Source organism: Homo sapiens, chromosome 19 (genome assembly GCF_000001405.40).
Source record: "Homo sapiens chromosome 19, GRCh38.p14 Primary Assembly".
Taxonomy (NCBI): domain Eukaryota; kingdom Metazoa; phylum Chordata; class Mammalia; order Primates; family Hominidae; genus Homo; species Homo sapiens.
The window spans coordinates 55,814,156-55,832,799 of NC_000019.10; the positions used below are offsets into that span (position 1 = coordinate 55,814,156).

General features: G+C 42.1%; 1 protein-coding gene across 8 annotated transcripts in view, besides 2 other annotated features; it reads right to left on the reverse strand.

The window, feature by feature from the left end:
• NLRP11 (NLR family pyrin domain containing 11) overlaps positions 1 to 18,644 on the reverse strand; it is a 51,177-nt gene that overhangs the window by 28,757 nt on the left and 3,776 nt on the right. For 5 of the 8 annotated variants that reach the window (NR_169622.2, NR_169621.2, NM_001385451.2 and 2 more), the window contains exons 3-4: positions 17,808 to 17,939; positions 3,749 to 4,081 (exon numbers count right to left, since the gene is read on the reverse strand). Coding sequence is in view for 4 of the 8 variants with exons in the window: in NM_001385451.2 (NP_001372380.1) it covers positions 3,749 to 4,019 (271 nt within the window). In the remaining 4 variants the exon portion in view is untranslated. Of the gene's footprint in view, positions 1 to 3,748; positions 4,082 to 17,807; positions 17,940 to 18,644 lie in introns of those variants that run through there. The other 3 variants (NR_169620.2, NM_001297743.3, NM_001394894.2) reach the window with 2 other exon arrangements.
• Positions 4,691 to 4,780: an enhancer, noted in NCBI's record as "active region_15110". NCBI's record gives its function as "activates an Ori minimal core promoter by ATAC-STARR-seq in GM12878 lymphoblastoid cells {active_cell/tissue: GM12878}" and the evidence as "EXISTENCE:reporter gene assay evidence [ECO:0000049][PMID:35858748]".
• Positions 8,523 to 9,077: an enhancer, noted in NCBI's record as "H3K27ac-H3K4me1 hESC enhancer chr19:56334044-56334598 (GRCh37/hg19 assembly coordinates)". NCBI's record gives its function as "activates a minimal SCP1, AML or CMV promoter by ChIP-STARR-seq in naive H9 embryonic stem cells {active_cell/tissue: H9 hESC(naive)}" and the evidence as "EXISTENCE:reporter gene assay evidence [ECO:0000049][PMID:30033119]".

Sequence of the window (18,644 nt, forward strand, 5' to 3'; positions counted from 1 at the left end):
GTGAACCCTATTGTGAACTGCACATAGGAGGGATATAGGTTGCACCCTCCTTATGAGAATCTAATGCCTGATGATCTGTCACTGCTTCCCATCACCCCCCAATGGGACTGTCTAGTGGCAGGAAAATGAGCTCAGGGCTCCCAGTGATTCTACATCATGGCGAGTTGTAGAATTATTTCATTATATATTACAATGTAATAGAAATAAAGTACATAATAAATGTAATACATTTGAATTATCCCCAAACCATCCATCTCCACCCCTTCTAGTCCATGGAAAAATTGTCTTCCGTGAAACTGGTGCCAAAAAGGTGCGGGACCACTGCTTTACACTATACCAGGACAAGCTATACATTTTGGACACAGTTGTCCATAAGCTTGAGCTAGATAAGAAAAGAGAAGTGAATGACAGGATAACCATGCAACTAAAAAAAAAATTACTAATTCTGGAAGAAAACACTCAAGGAAGGAAAACAAGTTTACCACCATGTCAAGGTACTTAAAGTGTAATTTTTAAAATATCTAAAATATGAAGTGAGGCATGGTTAGAGAAGATGGTAGACCAGAAGCTGGTAGTGTGCACCGCTCTCATGGAGAGAGAACAGAGCAGCAACACCAGCTTTTCAACTGGATTATCTAGGACACACGGGATTCATCAAGGAAGCCACACAACCCACGGAGAACAGAAGAGTGAGACAGGACAGCCACCAGCCCAGGACTGGCACACGGCCCAGGAAGGCTCCTGACCACAGGGAGATGGTGAGTGAGCAAGAGTCCCCACGGATTGTTATTTTACAGTGTATATCAAAACATCAAGTTGTACACCTTAAGTATACATAATTTGTATCTGTCAATTACATCACAATAAAGCCAGAAGCATGTAGGTATGGAAGGAAAAGGTCTAAGAAAAATGTATGGCCTCAAAATAGAGAACATAGACAGAAAGATCAAATTCAGGTTACAAAAAAAAATCCTTGTAATTATGGAGTATGTAAATATGGGTGACAAATGTTTTAAAAAGAACATTCATATGCACCCCTATTAAGCTTTTAAACTTTAAGGATAAAGAAATTATTCAGGAATTTAGCAAGAGGCTGGGCACGGTGGCTTATGCCTGTAGCCCCAGCACTTTGGGAGGCCGAGGCGGGCGGATCACCTGAGGTCAGGAGTTCAAGACCAGCCTGGCCAACATAGTGAAACCCCATCTCTACTAAAAACACAAAAATGAGCCGGGTGTGGTGGTGGGCACCCTTAATCCCAGCTACTCAGGAGGCTAAGTCAGGAGAATCACTCGAACCTAGGAGGTGGAGGTTGCAGTGAGCCGAGATTGTTCCATTGCATTCCAGCCTGGACAATGGAACAAGACTCCATCTCAAAAAAAAAAAAAAAAAGAATTTAGCAATAAACATGAAAAAGGAAAACAAATCTTAACAGGTTAACATTTCTCCAAACATATTCAGTGCCAGAAGACACAGAAGGAATTTATACAATATTAAAAAGGAGTGGCTGGAGAGTATTACGTCCAGTAAAGTTCCCATTTGTGTATAAAGACATGCAAAGAGTTTTAGACATAAAATTAAGGAGTTCACTAAGGAATTCACTCATGAATCCTTCTCAGAGGCAGAGATGGAGGAAGCAACAATGAAGTCCAGTTAACTAAGGCAATGAAATGAATTATTCATCACATCAGGGACAGGGGTATGTGATAAGCCAGGTATAGCTTTAAATATAGAAGAAGCCTAAACAAAAAGATACTTGTGATTGCCATCAATAGTCGAGGTTATGAGCCTTGACTCCATAAAGTATATATAAGCCATGGGTTGGAGGAGAATAGCAAAGGAAGGCCAGAAGCCTGTGAGTCATAACGATGAGTGAAGACATGCTATACTATTTAATTGGGAAGATACGAGTTTAACCAAGTAAATATTGTATAAAAGTTGTCTTCAATATTAGAGGAATTTGAGGACCAAACTACTTCTTCATTCTAAAGAAGATCTACTGTTCACCTATAAGACACATAGACTGAAAATAAGAGGGAGATATTCCATGCCATTGGAAGCCAAAGAAGAGGAGTAGCTATGCTTATATCAGACAAAACAGATTCCATGACAAAAACTATAATGAGACACAAAGAAGGTCATTATGTAATACAGGGGTTGATCTAGCAAGAGGATGTGACAACTGTAAATATATATGCATCCAACACTGGAGTCCTCAGTTTAGCTCTAATAATTGCTTTATGTAAGAGAGACTCTAACACAATTACAGCTGTAGACTTCAACATCCCATTTTAGTGTGGTATTCATGATCTTGGTAAGTTCTCTTAACCCCTCAGGTATTCAGGTTTTCAATTGGAATACATGATTTTATCTATTTTAGAGATGTTCGGGAGGGACTAAATGAGCCAATGATGACGACCTGCATAGGAGTGTACCCAAAATGTTAACCCTCCATGACGCTTACACAGAGTCCCCTACATTTCTGTAGCTGGGTCTTATGGTAGGAGCGTACCCGGTTGTTAACCCTCCATGATCTTTACACAGAGCCCCTACTTTTCTGTAGCTGGATCTTATGGTTCTAGGACAGAGCTCTCTGCTGGGAAATCTGCTCTAGCTCAAGTACTTTCTTTGAGTCTAATCCTTTGGCTGGCTACTTTCATATAAGCTGGTTTGCATAATAACAGAAAATAAAGGTAGGATCATAAAGCCACAAAATAGAACATGACCCATATCCAATCTATCCCTGGTCCTCATGTGATGTCCAGTTCTGAAGACTGGTTCTTTGGGGATGGAAAAGTCATGTATCAAAACCACCAAGCTAAACAATTCCATCAACAAGTGGACTAAGGACACAAATAGATGCTTCTCAAAAGAAGATACACAAATGGCCAGTATCTGATAGTCCTTGAAAAAATGAATATGAAAAAAATGCTCAACATCGCTAATGACCAGGGAAATGCAAATCAAAACCACAATGCAATCCCACCTTACTCCTGCAAGAATGGCCATGATAAAAAAAAATTTAAAAAATAGATGTTGGTATGGATGTGGTAAAAAGGGAACACTTTTACACTGCTGGTGGGAATGTAAACCACTATGAAAACCAGTGTGACTATTCCTTAAAGAACTAAAAGTAGAACGACCATTTGATCCAGCAATCCCACTACTGTGTATCTACCCAGAGGAAAACAAGTCATTATACAAAAACACATGCACACACATTTATAGTGGCACAATTCGCAATTGCAAAAATATGGAACCAGCCCAAATGCCCATCAATCAACAAGTGGATAAAGAAATTATGAACACACACACACACACACACAAATACTACTCAGTCATAAAGAGAAGCGAAATAATAGCATTTGCAGCAAGCTGGATGGGATTAGAGACCATTATTCTAAGTGAAGTAACTCGGGAGTGGAAAACCAAACATTGTATTTTCTCTTAAGTGGGAGCTAAGCTATGAGGATGCAAAGGCATAAGAATGATACATTGGACTACAGGGACTCGGCGGGAAGTGTGAGAGGGAGGTGAGGGATAAACGACTACACACTGGGTACAGTGTGCACTGCTCAGACGGTGGGGATGCCAAAGTTTTAGAAATCACCACTAAAGAACTTACTCATGTACTCAAATACCACCTGCTTCCCAGAAACCTATTTAGAAAAAAAAAAAAAAAAAGGCCCAACACCCAGCTTCCTGTGAAGTGCCCTGATTTCTGCCCACCCTTCTCGTGACCCCACTCACGGTTTCGTCTGCCAATGATCTTCCTACAAAGATCTTCCTTACGCATCATTGAAAATATGCTGAAGAGCATATTCCATATATACTGTCCCTCATAAGAGATTGGCAACACGTTAGCCAGTTCTTCTTTTGTCATCTGTATCAGTGGAAACTGTGGCAGTTTGAAATCAAGAATCTTGCGTGCCAGATACTTCTTAAAACTCTGAAATTCCTTGTCACTGAGATTCTCTAGATACCACAGCAGGTCAAAGTCAGTAGAATCCGATTCTGCCATCTTGCTTCTCCAGGGAAGGCAGACTTCAGAGAAGGGATTTTGAGGCACAAGAAATATGAGATCTAAAAATAGATGTGGAATCAGACAATCAAACCACACAGTAATGCCAATTCATCCAAAGCTAACATCCTAGACAATTCCTGTGGTGTGATAGAAGCTCCTTTCTGATAGGCCATCAACGATAAGTCTGAACTCTTTCTGTCTGGGTCAATGGCCTTGTCGACTGATCTTGGCAAATTTCTAGGTTCTGTTAAGGTGGAACATCAGTTGTGTTAAAAGGCAACATTCTTATGGTAAAAGTTATCCCTGATTAGCAAATAGCATATAGGTTGAGAATTGAGTATCATACAGAAACTTTGGAGGGGAGTGTTTCTTTTGAAATTGTCAACCCTATGCAGATTGGAAATCTAGACTTGTGGTCTCTTACAAGATATGCTGTTGTATATGAAACTCCTCTATGTTAGAATAATCTGTATAGCAATTGGCTGTATTTACAATGATTATACTCCTTGGAGGTATGTCATTGATACGTATAAGGACTCCTAATGAAGAGGCAACTGTTATAATAAGCAAACAGGCTGTTTGTGGTCTTGTATGCTGCTGAAAAGAAATCTAAGTTATGATGTACTCTGTTCTGTCTTGTTAGTATATAAATGAGCCAAAGACAGCCCCTAGGTTATTTTTTCACTCTAGGCTGAAATCTGTTAGCGCATAAAGCCCACTGGCTTCAGACTCAAGTTTTTTATACAACCAATTGTTTTAAACACAGCCCAAATAAGCAGATGTTTAGCCATGTAGAGCCTGCCCGCTTTGCATACCTCGCAGAACTGCTCCCAACATCTGCCAGCAATAGGTAAGTCCCCAGGGTCAAGATGACTGCAAGGTGCTACTGCCCTTTGGAGCTCTCGGACCCAGGAGATCTTCCTCCCCACTGTACTGAGTGGTATCGCCTACACACACACACACACACACACACACACACACACACACACACACACACACACACACACACACAGGTTGCCTCTTCAATTCTACCCCACCTCTGCAGGGGTTCCCCATCTTCCTGTCCTCCTGAGTAGGGACCCACACACTGTAGCCCCTGGCCAGGCTCCTGCTGTAAGAGACATGCCCCACACACAAACCTGTGAAAATGCCACCCAAAAAAGCATGTGTGCAACTGCCACCCCTTGGTTATCTTTTCCCTTGACCAATTTCTAAACCCCGTGAGCCTCCCACACCTGTCAGTTTCAATGTCAGTCTAATCCTGGTATCATTACACTCCGTCACGAGAAGTTGAGATTGCCGAGTTGTGACTAAAGAATCCATTCCAGAGCCTTGACCCAACACAGTCAAGGCTCTCAGAGTTTATGACAAAGGTAGAGAAAGAAGATCTGATCAGATATGAGTGGATGTGGATTGGCTAACATCTCCATGGTTTTACAGCAAATGCTTCGACACAGAGAACAAGGGATAAATAGTCCCTTTGGGGGCGAAAAAGAAAGTTGGAGAATGGCAGGTATCTGCTTGAGGCTAGACTGCTCGATCTCTAACCATGAAATAAACCTAACTAGATACTCAACCGTAACTAGGTTGTTGGGCGTAAAGAAACCGCCAGTGAAGCTGATAAGATGCACCAAATACAAGACAGAGTCACTGGTATTGTAGACACACTCAACAGTGATGCCTACCTGAAGGGAAGAAGTAGGCATATTAAGCTTGCAGACCTCATATACCAGGTACTATGTTAGAAGATAGAGCCACTGGGTTGGATCTGACTCCATCGTGGCCATGAAGTACATGGAAAGATACTCATGATCCCCCAATAAAGGGGTAAAAAAATGGGCATACTGACATGCACCTATGGTACCTGAGTTTTGCAGCATTGCTATGCCAATCCCCAGTGCCCAACAAGGTAAGAACTATGACACCCTCTTCCAGAACATTTTCATTTGCCCTAAAGGAGGACCTGCAACTAGTAAGCAGTCACTCCCTGTTTCCCTCTCCTCCCCTAAAGGAGCCTTTAAATGCATGGTTGAGCTGGCAGAAAAAACAATAAGGAAGTCACTGAGTTTCAGAAGGCACGCATGCACCCAGGGAGTCGCTTTCATGTTAGGTCAGGTGAAGTCGAGCAAACTTTGGCAGCCTAGAGCTCAGTTTTAGGAAATCATATACAATTTTAGGGCAAAGGAGAAGACAAACCCTGGGGCACATTGAGGTGGGAGGACAGATGAAAGGCCACCAGTCAGTGGCAGGGGATAGACAAATGAGAAGGTTAACTAGAAAATCCCACTGAACAGAGGGTGGTGGAATTCTTACTCTGCTCAGTATCGGGTCTGAGGAGGAAAGGGGAAGCAATCGCACCCTTTGAGTTCCTAAACCTAAGCTGGACTTCGGAGAGTAATCATCCCACAGCTTTTCGTCTCATGTATATTTTTGTATTCTGGACCTAAATGCACAAACATGCTAAGAAATCTTTCGAAAACTTAGTTTTTCAAAAATGTCTTAATCTCTCTTAACTCAGAAAAAAAGTCATTACCTGAATAAAATGGAATGTGAAGCCATAAAGATTGGTTTCTAGGTCTATATTTGCTGGACCTACAAAGATATTTATAATATACTATTGAGATAAAAAGCAGTGAATGGGACTGGTACCCTGACATATGTACATACAGGTGTCGTGTTGGCTGAAGCCAGGATTTCAGGGTGTACAGAAGAGAGTTAACATGACACGTCCGAAACTGCCATCTTTAGGATCTGCCTGCTACATTGGCCGTTGGCTAGCATCTGGAACCTGGATGTGGAAGGCACCCCCCACCCACATTCCCAGAGCTGATAAGAGTGGCTCACATGCCTTTATGGCTTGTACAGACAACATGGCTTATGCTGAAGCTTTGCTGTCCTTCTGGGAGCCTGGAAGCTTGCAATTTCCTTCCATCTAAGCAGTGAGCCAATTTTCTCGGCACTGTTTAATGCATATTTTGGAATATGCTAGGGAGAGGATGCCTATGTGACCAGCTCTCTCTCTCTCTCTCACACACACACACACACACACACACACACACACACACACACACACCCCAAGCACTGAGTTTGTAATGATCTTCCACAGCAGCCAATACCTCGTGTGTGTTTTTTATCACTTGCTGCTGGGGGAATTCCACATGTCCTGGGTGACTCTGCCGGGAGAGGACACTCGGGAGCCTGGTTTCCTCTGGATTTTGTCCCATGTGCCTCTTTGCTTTGCCGATTCTGCTTTGTAGCCCTCACTGTAATAAGTCACAGCTGTGAACAGGACTGTGCCCAGTCCCAAGTCATCCCACCTAACCCAACTAGGGGATGGCATTCAACACCTGACACACAGGGTAACAGGAAATAGCCTCACAACATTGAATGACGTCCTCCTAAACTCACCATCTCTTACCTTGCAGCAGGCAAACCCATTAACATTGTTAGTGATGGGAGAACCCATTAACATTGTTAGTGATGGGAGAACCCATTAACATTGTTAGTGATGGGAGAACCCATTAACATTGTTAGTGATGGGAGAACCCATTAACATTGTTAGTGATGGGAGAACCCATTAACATTGTTAGTGATGGGAGAACCCATTAACATTGTTAGTGATGGGAGAACTGCTTTCAGGTCTAATTACTCCCTTAAATGGAAGTCTCCATCAGGGCAGGACCACTGTTTCTCTTTCTCCCCAGTGTTCTCAGCCTCTGTATCCATAATTGACACTTAGCATATTTGCCAAGAGGTCAGTTCTTTTCGTGCTCATATGGTTAACAAGATTGCCTTAGTCAGCTGGGCACAGTGGCTCACGCCTGTAATCCCAGCACTTTGGGAGGCCGAGGTGGGTGGATCACCTGAGGTCAGGAGTCCGAGACTAGCCGGGCCATCATGATGAAACCCCATCTCTACTAAAAATACAAAAAAATTAGGCAAGCATGGTGGTGGTGGCTACCTGTAATCCCAGCTATTTGGAAGGCTGAGACAGGAGAATCACTTGAACCTGGGAGGCAGAGATTGCTGTGAGCTGAGATAGTGCCACTGCACCCCAGCCTGGGAAACAGAGCAAGACTCTGTCTCAAAAAGAAATAAAAAAAGATTGCCTTAGTCTCATTGGAATTTCTCTTCTCTCTCACCCTAAAATGATATCTTTACGTCATGACTGAAGATGTCAAAGAAAAATTTTAGAACTGAGGCTTAGAATTTTATCAGACTGCAGGGAGGAGCCAAGATGGCCGAATAGGAACAGCTCCGGTCTACAGCTCCCAGCGTGAGCAACGCAGAAGACGGGTGATTTCCGCATTTCCATCTGAGGTACCGGGTTCATCTCACTAGGGAGTGCCAGACAGTGGGCGCAGGTCAGTGGATGCGCGCACCGTGCGCGAGCCGAAGCAGGGCGAGGCATTGCCTCACCTGGGAAGCGCGAGGGGTCAGGGAGTTCCCTTTCCGAGTCAAAGAAAGGGGTGACGGACGCACCTGGAAAATCGGGTCACTCCCACCCGAATACTGCGCTTTTCTGACTGGCTTAAAAAACGGCGCACCATGAGACTATATCCCACACCTGGCTCGGAGGGTCCTATGCCCACGGAGTCTCGCTGATTGCTAGCACAGCAGTCTGAGATCAAACTGCAAGGCGGCAGCTAGGCTGGGGGAGGGGCGCCCGCCATTGCCCAGGCTTGATTAGGTAAACAAAGCAGCCAGGAAGCTGGAACTGGGGGGAGCCCACCACAGCTCAAGGAGGCCTGCCTGCCTCTATAGGCTCCACCTCTGGGGGCAGGGCACAGACAAACAAAAAGACAGCAGTAACCTCTGCAGACTTAAATGTCCCTGTCTGACAGCTTTGAAGAGAGCAGTGGTTCTCCCAGCACGCAGCTGGAGATCTGAGAACCAGCAGACTGCCTCCTCAAGTGGGTCCCTGACCCCTGACCCCCAAGCAGCCTAACTGGGAGGCACCCCCCAGCAGGAGCACACTGACACCTCACACGGCAGGGTATTCCAACAGACCTGCAGCTGAGGGTCCTGTCTGTTAGAAGGAAAACTAACAAACAGAAAGGACATCCACACCGAAAACCCATCTGTACATCACCATCATCAAAGACCAAAAGTAGATAAAACCACAAAGATGGGGAAAAAACAGAACAGAAAAACTGGAAACTCTAAAACGCAGAGTGTCTCTCCTCCTCCAAAGGAACGCAGTTCCTCCCCAGAAACGGAACAAAGCTGGATGGAGAATGACTTTGAGGAGCTGAGAGAAGAAGGCTTCAGACGATCAAATTACTCTGAGCTACGGGAGGACATTCAAACCAAAGGCAAAGAAGTTGAAAACTTTGAAAAAAATTTAGAAGAATGTATAACTAGAATAACCAATACAGAGAAGTGCTTAAAGGAGCTGATGGAGCTGAAAACCAAGGCTCGAGAACTACGTGAAGAATGCAGAAGCCTCAGGAGCCGATACGATCAACTGGAAGAAAGGGTATCAGCAATGGAAGACGAAATGAATGAAATGAAGCGAGAAGGGAAGTTTAGAGAAAAACAAATAAAAAGAAATGAGCAAAGCCTCCAAGAAATATGGGACTATGTGAAAAGACCAAATCTACGTCTGATTGGTGTACCTGAAAGTGATGGGGAGAATGGAACCAAGTTGGAAAACGCTCTGCAGGATATTATCCAGGAGAACTTCCCCAATCTAGCAAGGCAGGCCAACGTTCAGATTCAGGAAATACAGAGAACACCACAAAGATACTCCTCGAGAAGAGCAACTCCAAGACACATAATTGTCAGATTCACCAAAGTTGAAATGAAGGAAAAAATGTTAAGGGCAGCCAGAGAGAAAGGTCGGGTTACCCTCAAAGGGAAGCCCATCAGACTAACAGCAGATCTCTCGGCAGAAACCCTACAAGCCAGAAGAGAGTGGGGGCCAATATTCAACATTCTTAAAGAAAAGAATTTTCAACCCAGAATTTCATATCCACCCAAACTAAGCTTCATAAGTGAAGGAGAAATAAAACACTTTACAGACAAGCAAATGCTGAGAGATTTTGTCACCACCAGGCCTGCCCTAAAAGAGCTCCTGAAGGAAGCGCTAAACATGGAAAGGAACAACTGGTACCAGCCGCTGCAAAATCATGCCAAAATGTAAAGACCATCGAGACCAGGAAGAAACTGCATCAACTAATGAGCAAAATCACCAGCTAACATCATAATGACAGGATCAAATTCACACATAACAATATTAACTTTAAATGTAAATGGACTAAATTCTCCAATTAAAAGACACAGACTGGCAAATTGGATAAAGAGTCAAGACCCATCAGTGTGCTGTATTCAGGAAACCCATCTCATGTGCAGAGACACACATAGGCTCAAAATAAAAGGATGGAGGAAGATCTACCAAGCAAATGGAAAACAAAAAAAGGAAGGGGTTGCAATCCTAGTCTCTGATAAAACAGACTTTAAACCAACAAAGATCAAGAGACAAAGAAGGCCATTACATAATGGTAAAGGGATCAATTCAACAAGAAGAGCTAACTATCCTAAATATATATGCACCCAATACAGGAGCACCCAGATTCATAAAGCAAGTCCTGAGTGACCTACAAAGAGACTTACACTCCCACGCATTAATAATGGGAGACGTTAACACCCCACTGTCAACATTAGACAGATCAACGAGACAGAAAGTCAACAAGGATACCCAGGAATTGAACTCAGCTCTGCACCAAGCGGACCTAATAGACATCTACAGAACTCTCCACCCCAAATCAACAGAATATACATTTTTTTCAGCACCACACCACACCTATTCCAAAATTGACCACATAGTTGGAAGTAAAGCTCTCCTCAGCAAATGTAAAAGAACAGAAATTATAACAAACTATCTCTCAGACCACAGTGCAATCAAACTAGAACTCAGGATTAAGAATCTCACTCAAAGCCACTCAACTACATGGAAACTGAACAACCTGCTCCTGAATGACTACTGGGTACATAACGAAATGAAGGCAGAAATAAAGATGTTCTTTGAAACCAACGAGAACAAAGACACAACATACCAGAATCTCTGGGACGCATTCAAAGCAGTGTGTAGAGGGAAATTTATAGCACTAAATGCCCACAAGAGAAAGCAGGAAAGATCCAAAATTGACACCCTAACATCACAATTAAAAGAACTAGAAAAGCAAGAGCAAACACATTCAAAAGCTAGCAGAAGGCAAGAAATAACTAAAATCAGAGCAGAACTGAAGGAAATAGAGACACAAAAAACCCTTCAAAAAATCAATGAATCCAGGAGCTGGTTTTTTGAAAGGATCAACAAAATTGATAGACTGCTAGCAAGACTAATAAAGAAAAAAAGAGAGAAGAATCAAATAGACACAATAAAAAATGATAAAGGGGATATCACCACCGATCCCACAGAAATACAAACTACCATCAGAGAATACTACAAACACCTCTACGCAAATAAACTAGAAAATCTAGAAGAAATGGATAAATTCCTCGACACATACACTCTCCCAAGACTAAACCAGGAAGAAGTTGAATCTCTGAATAGACCAATAACAGGAGCTGAAATTGTGGCAATAATCAATAGTTTACCAACCAAAAAGAGTCCAGGACCAGATGGATTCACAGCCGAATTCTACCAGAGGTACAAGGAAGAACTGGTACCATTCCTTCTGAAACTATTCCAATCAATAGAAAAAGAGGGAATCCTCCCTAACTCATTTTATGAGGCCAGCATCATTCTGATACCAAAGCCGGGCAGAGACACAACCAAAAAAGAGAATTTTAGACCAATATCCTTGATCAACATTGATGCAAAAATCCTCAATAAAATACTGGCAAACCGAATCCAGCAGCACATCAAAAAGCTTATCCACCATGATCAAGTGGGCTTCATCCCTGGGATGCAAGGCTGGTTCAATATACGCAAATCAATAAATGTAATCCAGCATATAAACAGAGCCAAAGACAAAAACCACATGATTATCTCAATAGATGCAGAAAAAGCCTTTGACAAAATTCAACAACCCTTCATGCTAAAAACTCTCAATAAATTAGGTATTGATGGGACGTATTTCAAAATAATAAGAGCTATCTATGACAAACCCACAGCCAATATCATACTGAATGGGCAAAAACTGGAAGCATTCCCTTTGAAAACTGGCAAAAGACAGGGATGCCCTCTCTCACCACTCCTATTCAACATAGTGTTGGAAGTTCTGGCCAGGGCAATTAGGCAAGAGAAGGAAATAAAGGGTATCCAATTAGGAAAAGAGGAAGTCAAATTGTCCCTGTTTGCAGACGACATGATTGTATATCTAGAAAACCCCATTGTCTCAGCCCAAAAGCTCCTTAAGCTGATAAGCAACTTCAGCAAAGTCTCAGGATACAAAATCAATGTACAAAAATCACAAGCATTCTTATACACCAACAACAGACAAACAGAGAGCCAAATCATGAGTGAACTCCCATTCACAATTGCTTCAAAGAGAATAAAATACCTAGGAATCCAACTTACAAGGGATGTGAAGGACCTCTTCAAGGAGAACTACAAACCACTGCTCAAGGAAATAAAAGAGGATACAAACAAATGGAAGAACATTTCATGCTCATGGGTAGGAAGAATCAATATCGTGAAAATGGCCATACTGCCCAAGGTAATTTACAGATTCAATGCCATCCCCATCAAGCTACCAATGACTTTCTTCACAGAATTGGAAAAAACTACTTTAAAGTTCATATGGAACCAAAAAAGAGCCCGCATTGCCAAGTCAATCCTAAGCCAAAAGAACAAAGCTGGAGGCATCACACTACCTGATTTCAAACTATACTACAAGGCTACAGTAACCAAAACAGCATGGTACTGGTACCAAAACAGAGATATAGATCAATGGAACAGAACAGAGCCCTCAGAAATAATGCCGCATACCTACAACTATCTGGTATTTGACAAACCTGAGAAAAACAAGCAATGGGGAAAGGATTCCCTATTTAATAAATGGTGCTGGGAAAACTGGCTAGCCATATGTAGGAAGCTGAAACTGGATCCCTTCCTTACACCTTATACAAAAATCAATTCAAGATGGATTAAAGATTTAAACGTTAGACCTAAAACCATAAAAACCCTAGAAGAAAACCTAGGCATGACCATTCAGGACATAGGCATGGCCAAGGACTTCATGTCTAAAACACCAAAAGCAATGGCAACAAAAGCCAAAATTGACAAATGGGATCTAATTAAACTAAAGAGCTTCTGCACAGCAAAAGAAACTACCATCAGAGTCAACAGGCAACCTACAAAATGGGAGAAAATTTTCGCAACCTACTCATCTGACAAAGGGCTAATATCCAGAATCTACAATGAACTCAAACAAATTTACAAGAAAAAAACAAACAACCCCATCAAAAAGTGGGCAAAGGATATAAACAGACACTTCTCAAAAGAAGACATTTATGCAGCCAAAAAAAACATGAAAAAATGCTCATCATCACTGGCCATCAGAGAAATGCAAATCAAAACCACAATGAGATACCATCTCACACCAGTTAGAATGGTGATCATTAAAAAGTCAGGAAACAACAGGTGCTGGAGAGGATGTGGAGAAATAGGAACACTTTTACACTGTTGGTGGGACTGTAAAGTAGTTCATCCATTGTGGAAGTCAGTGTGGCGATTCCTCAGGGATCTAGAACTAGAAATACCATTTGACCCAGCCATCCCATTACTGGGTATATACCCAAATGACTATAAATCATGCTGCTATAAAGACACATGCACAAGTATGTTTACTGCGGCATTATTCACAATAGCAAAGACTTGGAACCAACCCAAATGTCCAACAATGATAGACTGGATTAAGAAAATGTGGCACATATACACCATGGAATACTATGCAGCCATAAAAAATGATGAGTTCATGTCCTTTGTAGGGACATGGATGAAATTGGAAATCATCATTCTCAGTAAACTATCACAAGAACAAAAAACCAAACACTGCATGTTCTCACTCATAGGTGGGAATTGAACAATGAGATCACATGGACACAGGAAAGGGAATATCACACTCTGGGGACTGTGGTGGGGTGGGGGGAAGGGGGAGGGAGAGCATTGGGAGATATACCTAATGCTAGATGACAAGTTAGTGGGTGCAGCGCACCAGCATGGCACATGTATACATATGTAACTAACCTGCACAATGTGCACATGTACCCTAAAACTTAAAGTATAATAATAAAAAAAAGAATTTTATCAGACTGCAAAGTTAGTAATGATGTCAATTAAAGTAGATCTGTACTTCTCATGGAGAATACTCATTGCAACAAATTTTAAATCCCAGGAGAGCTGCTATGTGTGCACATGTGTAAGGCCACTGCAGCCCCAATTAAGTATATCATAATTATGGTATCACAAATCCACACTGATACGAAATATGCATTAAATGGTGCTGAGAAATTTGGCTCATCACCTAGATGGAAGGAAAATGCAAGCTTTCCATCACTATACAAACAAAATTCAGTAAATAAGATTGGGTTGTATTTTTTAAGGAATGATTGGGACTTAATATTTAATTAAGAAATATTTAATCATGCCCTTGTTTCTGATTTTATACTTATAGAATAAGGAATGTTCCATAAGCTTTACGTGTCGTGACTCTGGGGCTTAATAAAAACAGATGTATATCTGACCTTTGAAGAAAAATATGTAGACAGGAGAGATGAAGATAACATAGAGAAGATTTTAAAGTTATTAAGAATTCTATTCACAATCATTGAGGAAATATCAATTAGATATAGAACTTGAAGAGACAAGAAGTTACAAATGGCTAACACACGTATATACAAAATTAGCACCTTGTAGTTCAGTCAACAGCAACTTCCAGCAATCAATTTAAGAAGCATTGCACTGTGGTCAGATGAGGGTATGAAATGTTGGTGTAAAACAGTGTTTTGCCTTTTGAGAAAAGTAAGTAATAAGAGCTTTTAATATACATACACACGCTGACACAATATTGCATTTTTTTTTTTTTTGAGGAACCTATGAAGCAGAGTCACTAGGCATAAAGCTTATGGAATACTCTTTAAATCATCCTATACAATAGTATAAAATCAGAAACACCTGAAGTCTGACAAGGACATGATTAGATATTTCCGGTGCATTATTATGTATTATCAACCCACTTAAAAAATCATACTTTAGGCTGGGCAGGGTGGCTCATGCCTGTAATCCCAGCACTTTGGGAGGCCGAGGAGGGCAGATCACGAGGTCAGGAGATCGAGACCCCTATCCTGGCTAACACAGTGAAGCCTTGTCTCTACTAAAAGTACAAAAAATTAGCCGGGCGTGGTGGCACGCGCCTGTAGTCCCAGCTACTCAGAAGGCTGAGGCAGGAGAATCGCTTGAACCTCAGAAGTGGAGGTTGCAGTGAGCCGAGATGGCGCCACTGCACTCCAGCCTGGGCGAGACTCCGTCTCAAAAAAAAAAAAAAAAAAAAAAAAAAATCGTACTTTAAAGAACACAAGAAAAAGCTCATAAAACAGCGTTTACAGAAGTATGAACTGTTTGAGTCTAAAGGTAACTCCACTTTCTTAAACATATTAGAGGGAAATACAGTTGACTCCTGAACTCAAAAGTCAATGCTGCCAGCCCCTAGGCAGTCAAAAACCCACGTATAACTTTTGACTTCCAACACTCATAGCCTACTATTGACCAGAAGCCTTATCAACAGTCAATTAACACATAAGTAGACTCACATCTATATTGATTGCATTCATGACATATCTGACTTTAATTTTTTAAGTATTTCTAGGCTGCCTGGTTCATCTACAAGTTGTCATACATCTCCCCCAAAATTCTCCAATATATTTATTTTTGAAACTTCATGTATAAGTGGACACATGCAGCTCAAACCTGTATTGTTCAAGGGTCCACTGTAAATCTGTTTAACACAAGTGTTTTCTTCTTTTAAATCTTGTATCTAGGTGTTTTTCCCCCCTAAGTGAACACAAGTAGATTAGGGATTAGTAAGTTAAGCCTCACCAAGTCCAACCCTTCCCCAAATTCCCAAACTCTTCCCTCCTTTGACTTCTATTTCACCATTGCCTTTGAGCCCCATCCTTGTAACTGAGAGACTTCCGAGTTCAGGAGTCAACTGTATTTCTTTCTAGTGATATGTTTGTCTAATAAAGTAGTTACCTTTAGACTCAAACAGTCCATATTTCCCTAAACACTGTTGTATGAGCTTTGCTTGTGTTCTTTAAGGTATGATTTTTAAGTGGTTTGGTAATAATGCACCAGAAATATTTAATCATGACCCTCTCAGTCTTTAGGTGTTTCTGATTTCATACTGTGACATAGGATCATTCAAGGAAAATTCCATAAGCTTTTTGCCTAGTGATGGCTTCTTAGCTTCCTAAAAAAAAAAAAAAAAATGCAACGTTGAGTGTGTGTTAAAAGCTCTTATTACTTTTCCCAAAGGGCAAAATACTTTTTTTACACCAACCTTTTGTACACTCATCTGACCACACTGCAATGCTTTTTAAGTTGGTTGCTGGAATTTGCTGTTGACTGAACTATAAGGTGCCAACTGAACTATGAGGTGATCTCCAACACCTGCAAAAAAGCTGACACTACAGCATTGCACGTCCCAAGTCGGCGTTGCATCAGATTAGCTGATCACCGCACAGTTGGGCACTTCAAGCACCTGTGACCAGACTTTCTCAAGCACTGAGACACAGGGGAATCACCTGGGGAGTTATCAAAAACCCCAGTGTCCCGAAATACAGACACTGATTAGAGACTTTGGAGGTTGGGCCCAGGAACCAGTATATTGTTCCAATCCCCCCTGTAAATTCAGCACTCAAAGTTAAGAATCAATTTGTAAACTAAAAATAACATGTTAAGACCCACCGCCCCACCCCCCCCATCCCCCCCACCCCCCCGCCCACAACCAACTGAGCGGACCCCCTCCTGGCCAAGATACTTGAAAAACAGAATCATTGACTATGGCAGGAAGGGAGGTCAAACCTCCTCCTATCTCCTTCCTTTCGGAGCCTAGGCACAACTGACGGGCATTAACATTAAAATAGAGCTCAGGACCGGGTGCAGGAGCTCACGCCTGTAATCCCAGCACTTTGGGAGGTCAAGGTGGGCACATTACTTGAGGTCAGGAGTTCGAGACCAGCCTAGACAACATGGCGAAACCCCATCTCTACTAAAAATACAAAAATTAGCTACGTATGCTGGCGTGTGCCTGTCATTCCTGCTACTTGGGAGTCTGAGGTGGGAGAGTCACTTGAACCCAGGAGACAGAGGTTGCAGTGCGCTGAGATCACACCACTGCACGCCAGCCTTGGCGACAGAGCGAGACTCCGTCTCAAAATAAATAAATAAATAAAAATATTCTTTTCATCTCTAACACTTTATACATCACATAGAAGAATAGCATCCATAAGGCTATGATGACGAGTTAGTTAGGTTTAAACACTCCACCCACAGTGCACATACACTTCAAAACATCATGCTGCACACACTACATGCAATTTTATCTGTCAACTTAAATAAGTTTATCAAAAAAAAAAAAAGCATGACCCAAATTTACTCATGTGAACTTGAAAAAGGTAACAGAGCTTGGCCTGCCCTTAGGAACTTTAGTCATTTTATTCCCCAATCATATTATTTCCAGCTCCTAACCAAAGAGAAAGCTAAAGAACCAATGTAACATAATAAAAAAAGACCTTAAAATCCAAACAAACAAATCGGCCAGAAAGGTAACTCACCAACCCTGCCACCAGGTCTCCTTGGCTGGTCGAAAGCAAACAAGCTAGGCAGCGGGAAGAAAAAGGCGGTGCCTGCCCGGTGATTAGCCAGCTGACTCCTCTCTTGATTGGCCAAGGTGGGTTCTTGATGACCTTCGCGATGGAGGGGAAATACTGCTGCACCTGCGTGTTTCTGCCCAGATGCCCCAATTGTCTTTCTTCACCCAGGACTAAACAGGGTCTGCTGATTAGGAGACGGTCCACACCCCGTTTATGATGTTGGAGCTCATGGGGCATCTGACCAAGAACCTCCAAAACAATTGACTTAGGCAGTGCCGGGGGAAAGAAGTTTTCCACCAATAATCTCAATTTCGGATAACCATCTATACAGTAAGCTCCATGAGGGGAATACGCTGTCTAGTCTACATAACCACCTGGCAAGGATCCTTTCAAATCTGAGGGAGGCCATAAATATTTGTGGAACAAATGCAACCAAAGGCATGTTTAACAGGTGATAGAATTTGCGGAGGCACGTCCTAGATCCTCCACCCGGGGGGCCCGTCTTGGCTGCCTATTGGAATCACCTGGAGACCTCTAGTGAAGACTGATAGCTCAGTCCTATGCGCAGGTATCTGCTTTAGTCAGGAGGGAGTATGCTCTGGGTATGACTGATAGAGCTCCTCATATTGAACAGATTACAGAAGAATAGGGGCATCTTCATAGGTGCAAAAGGGGAAATATAAAAGAGTCTATATCTATTCATGGTTTTAGATGTATCTTTGTAAGTTAGGAAATAAAAGAATTTCCTTCACCCAGTAAAGGGTTCCAAAAAAGCAAGAGCAAACAAAAATCTCATAA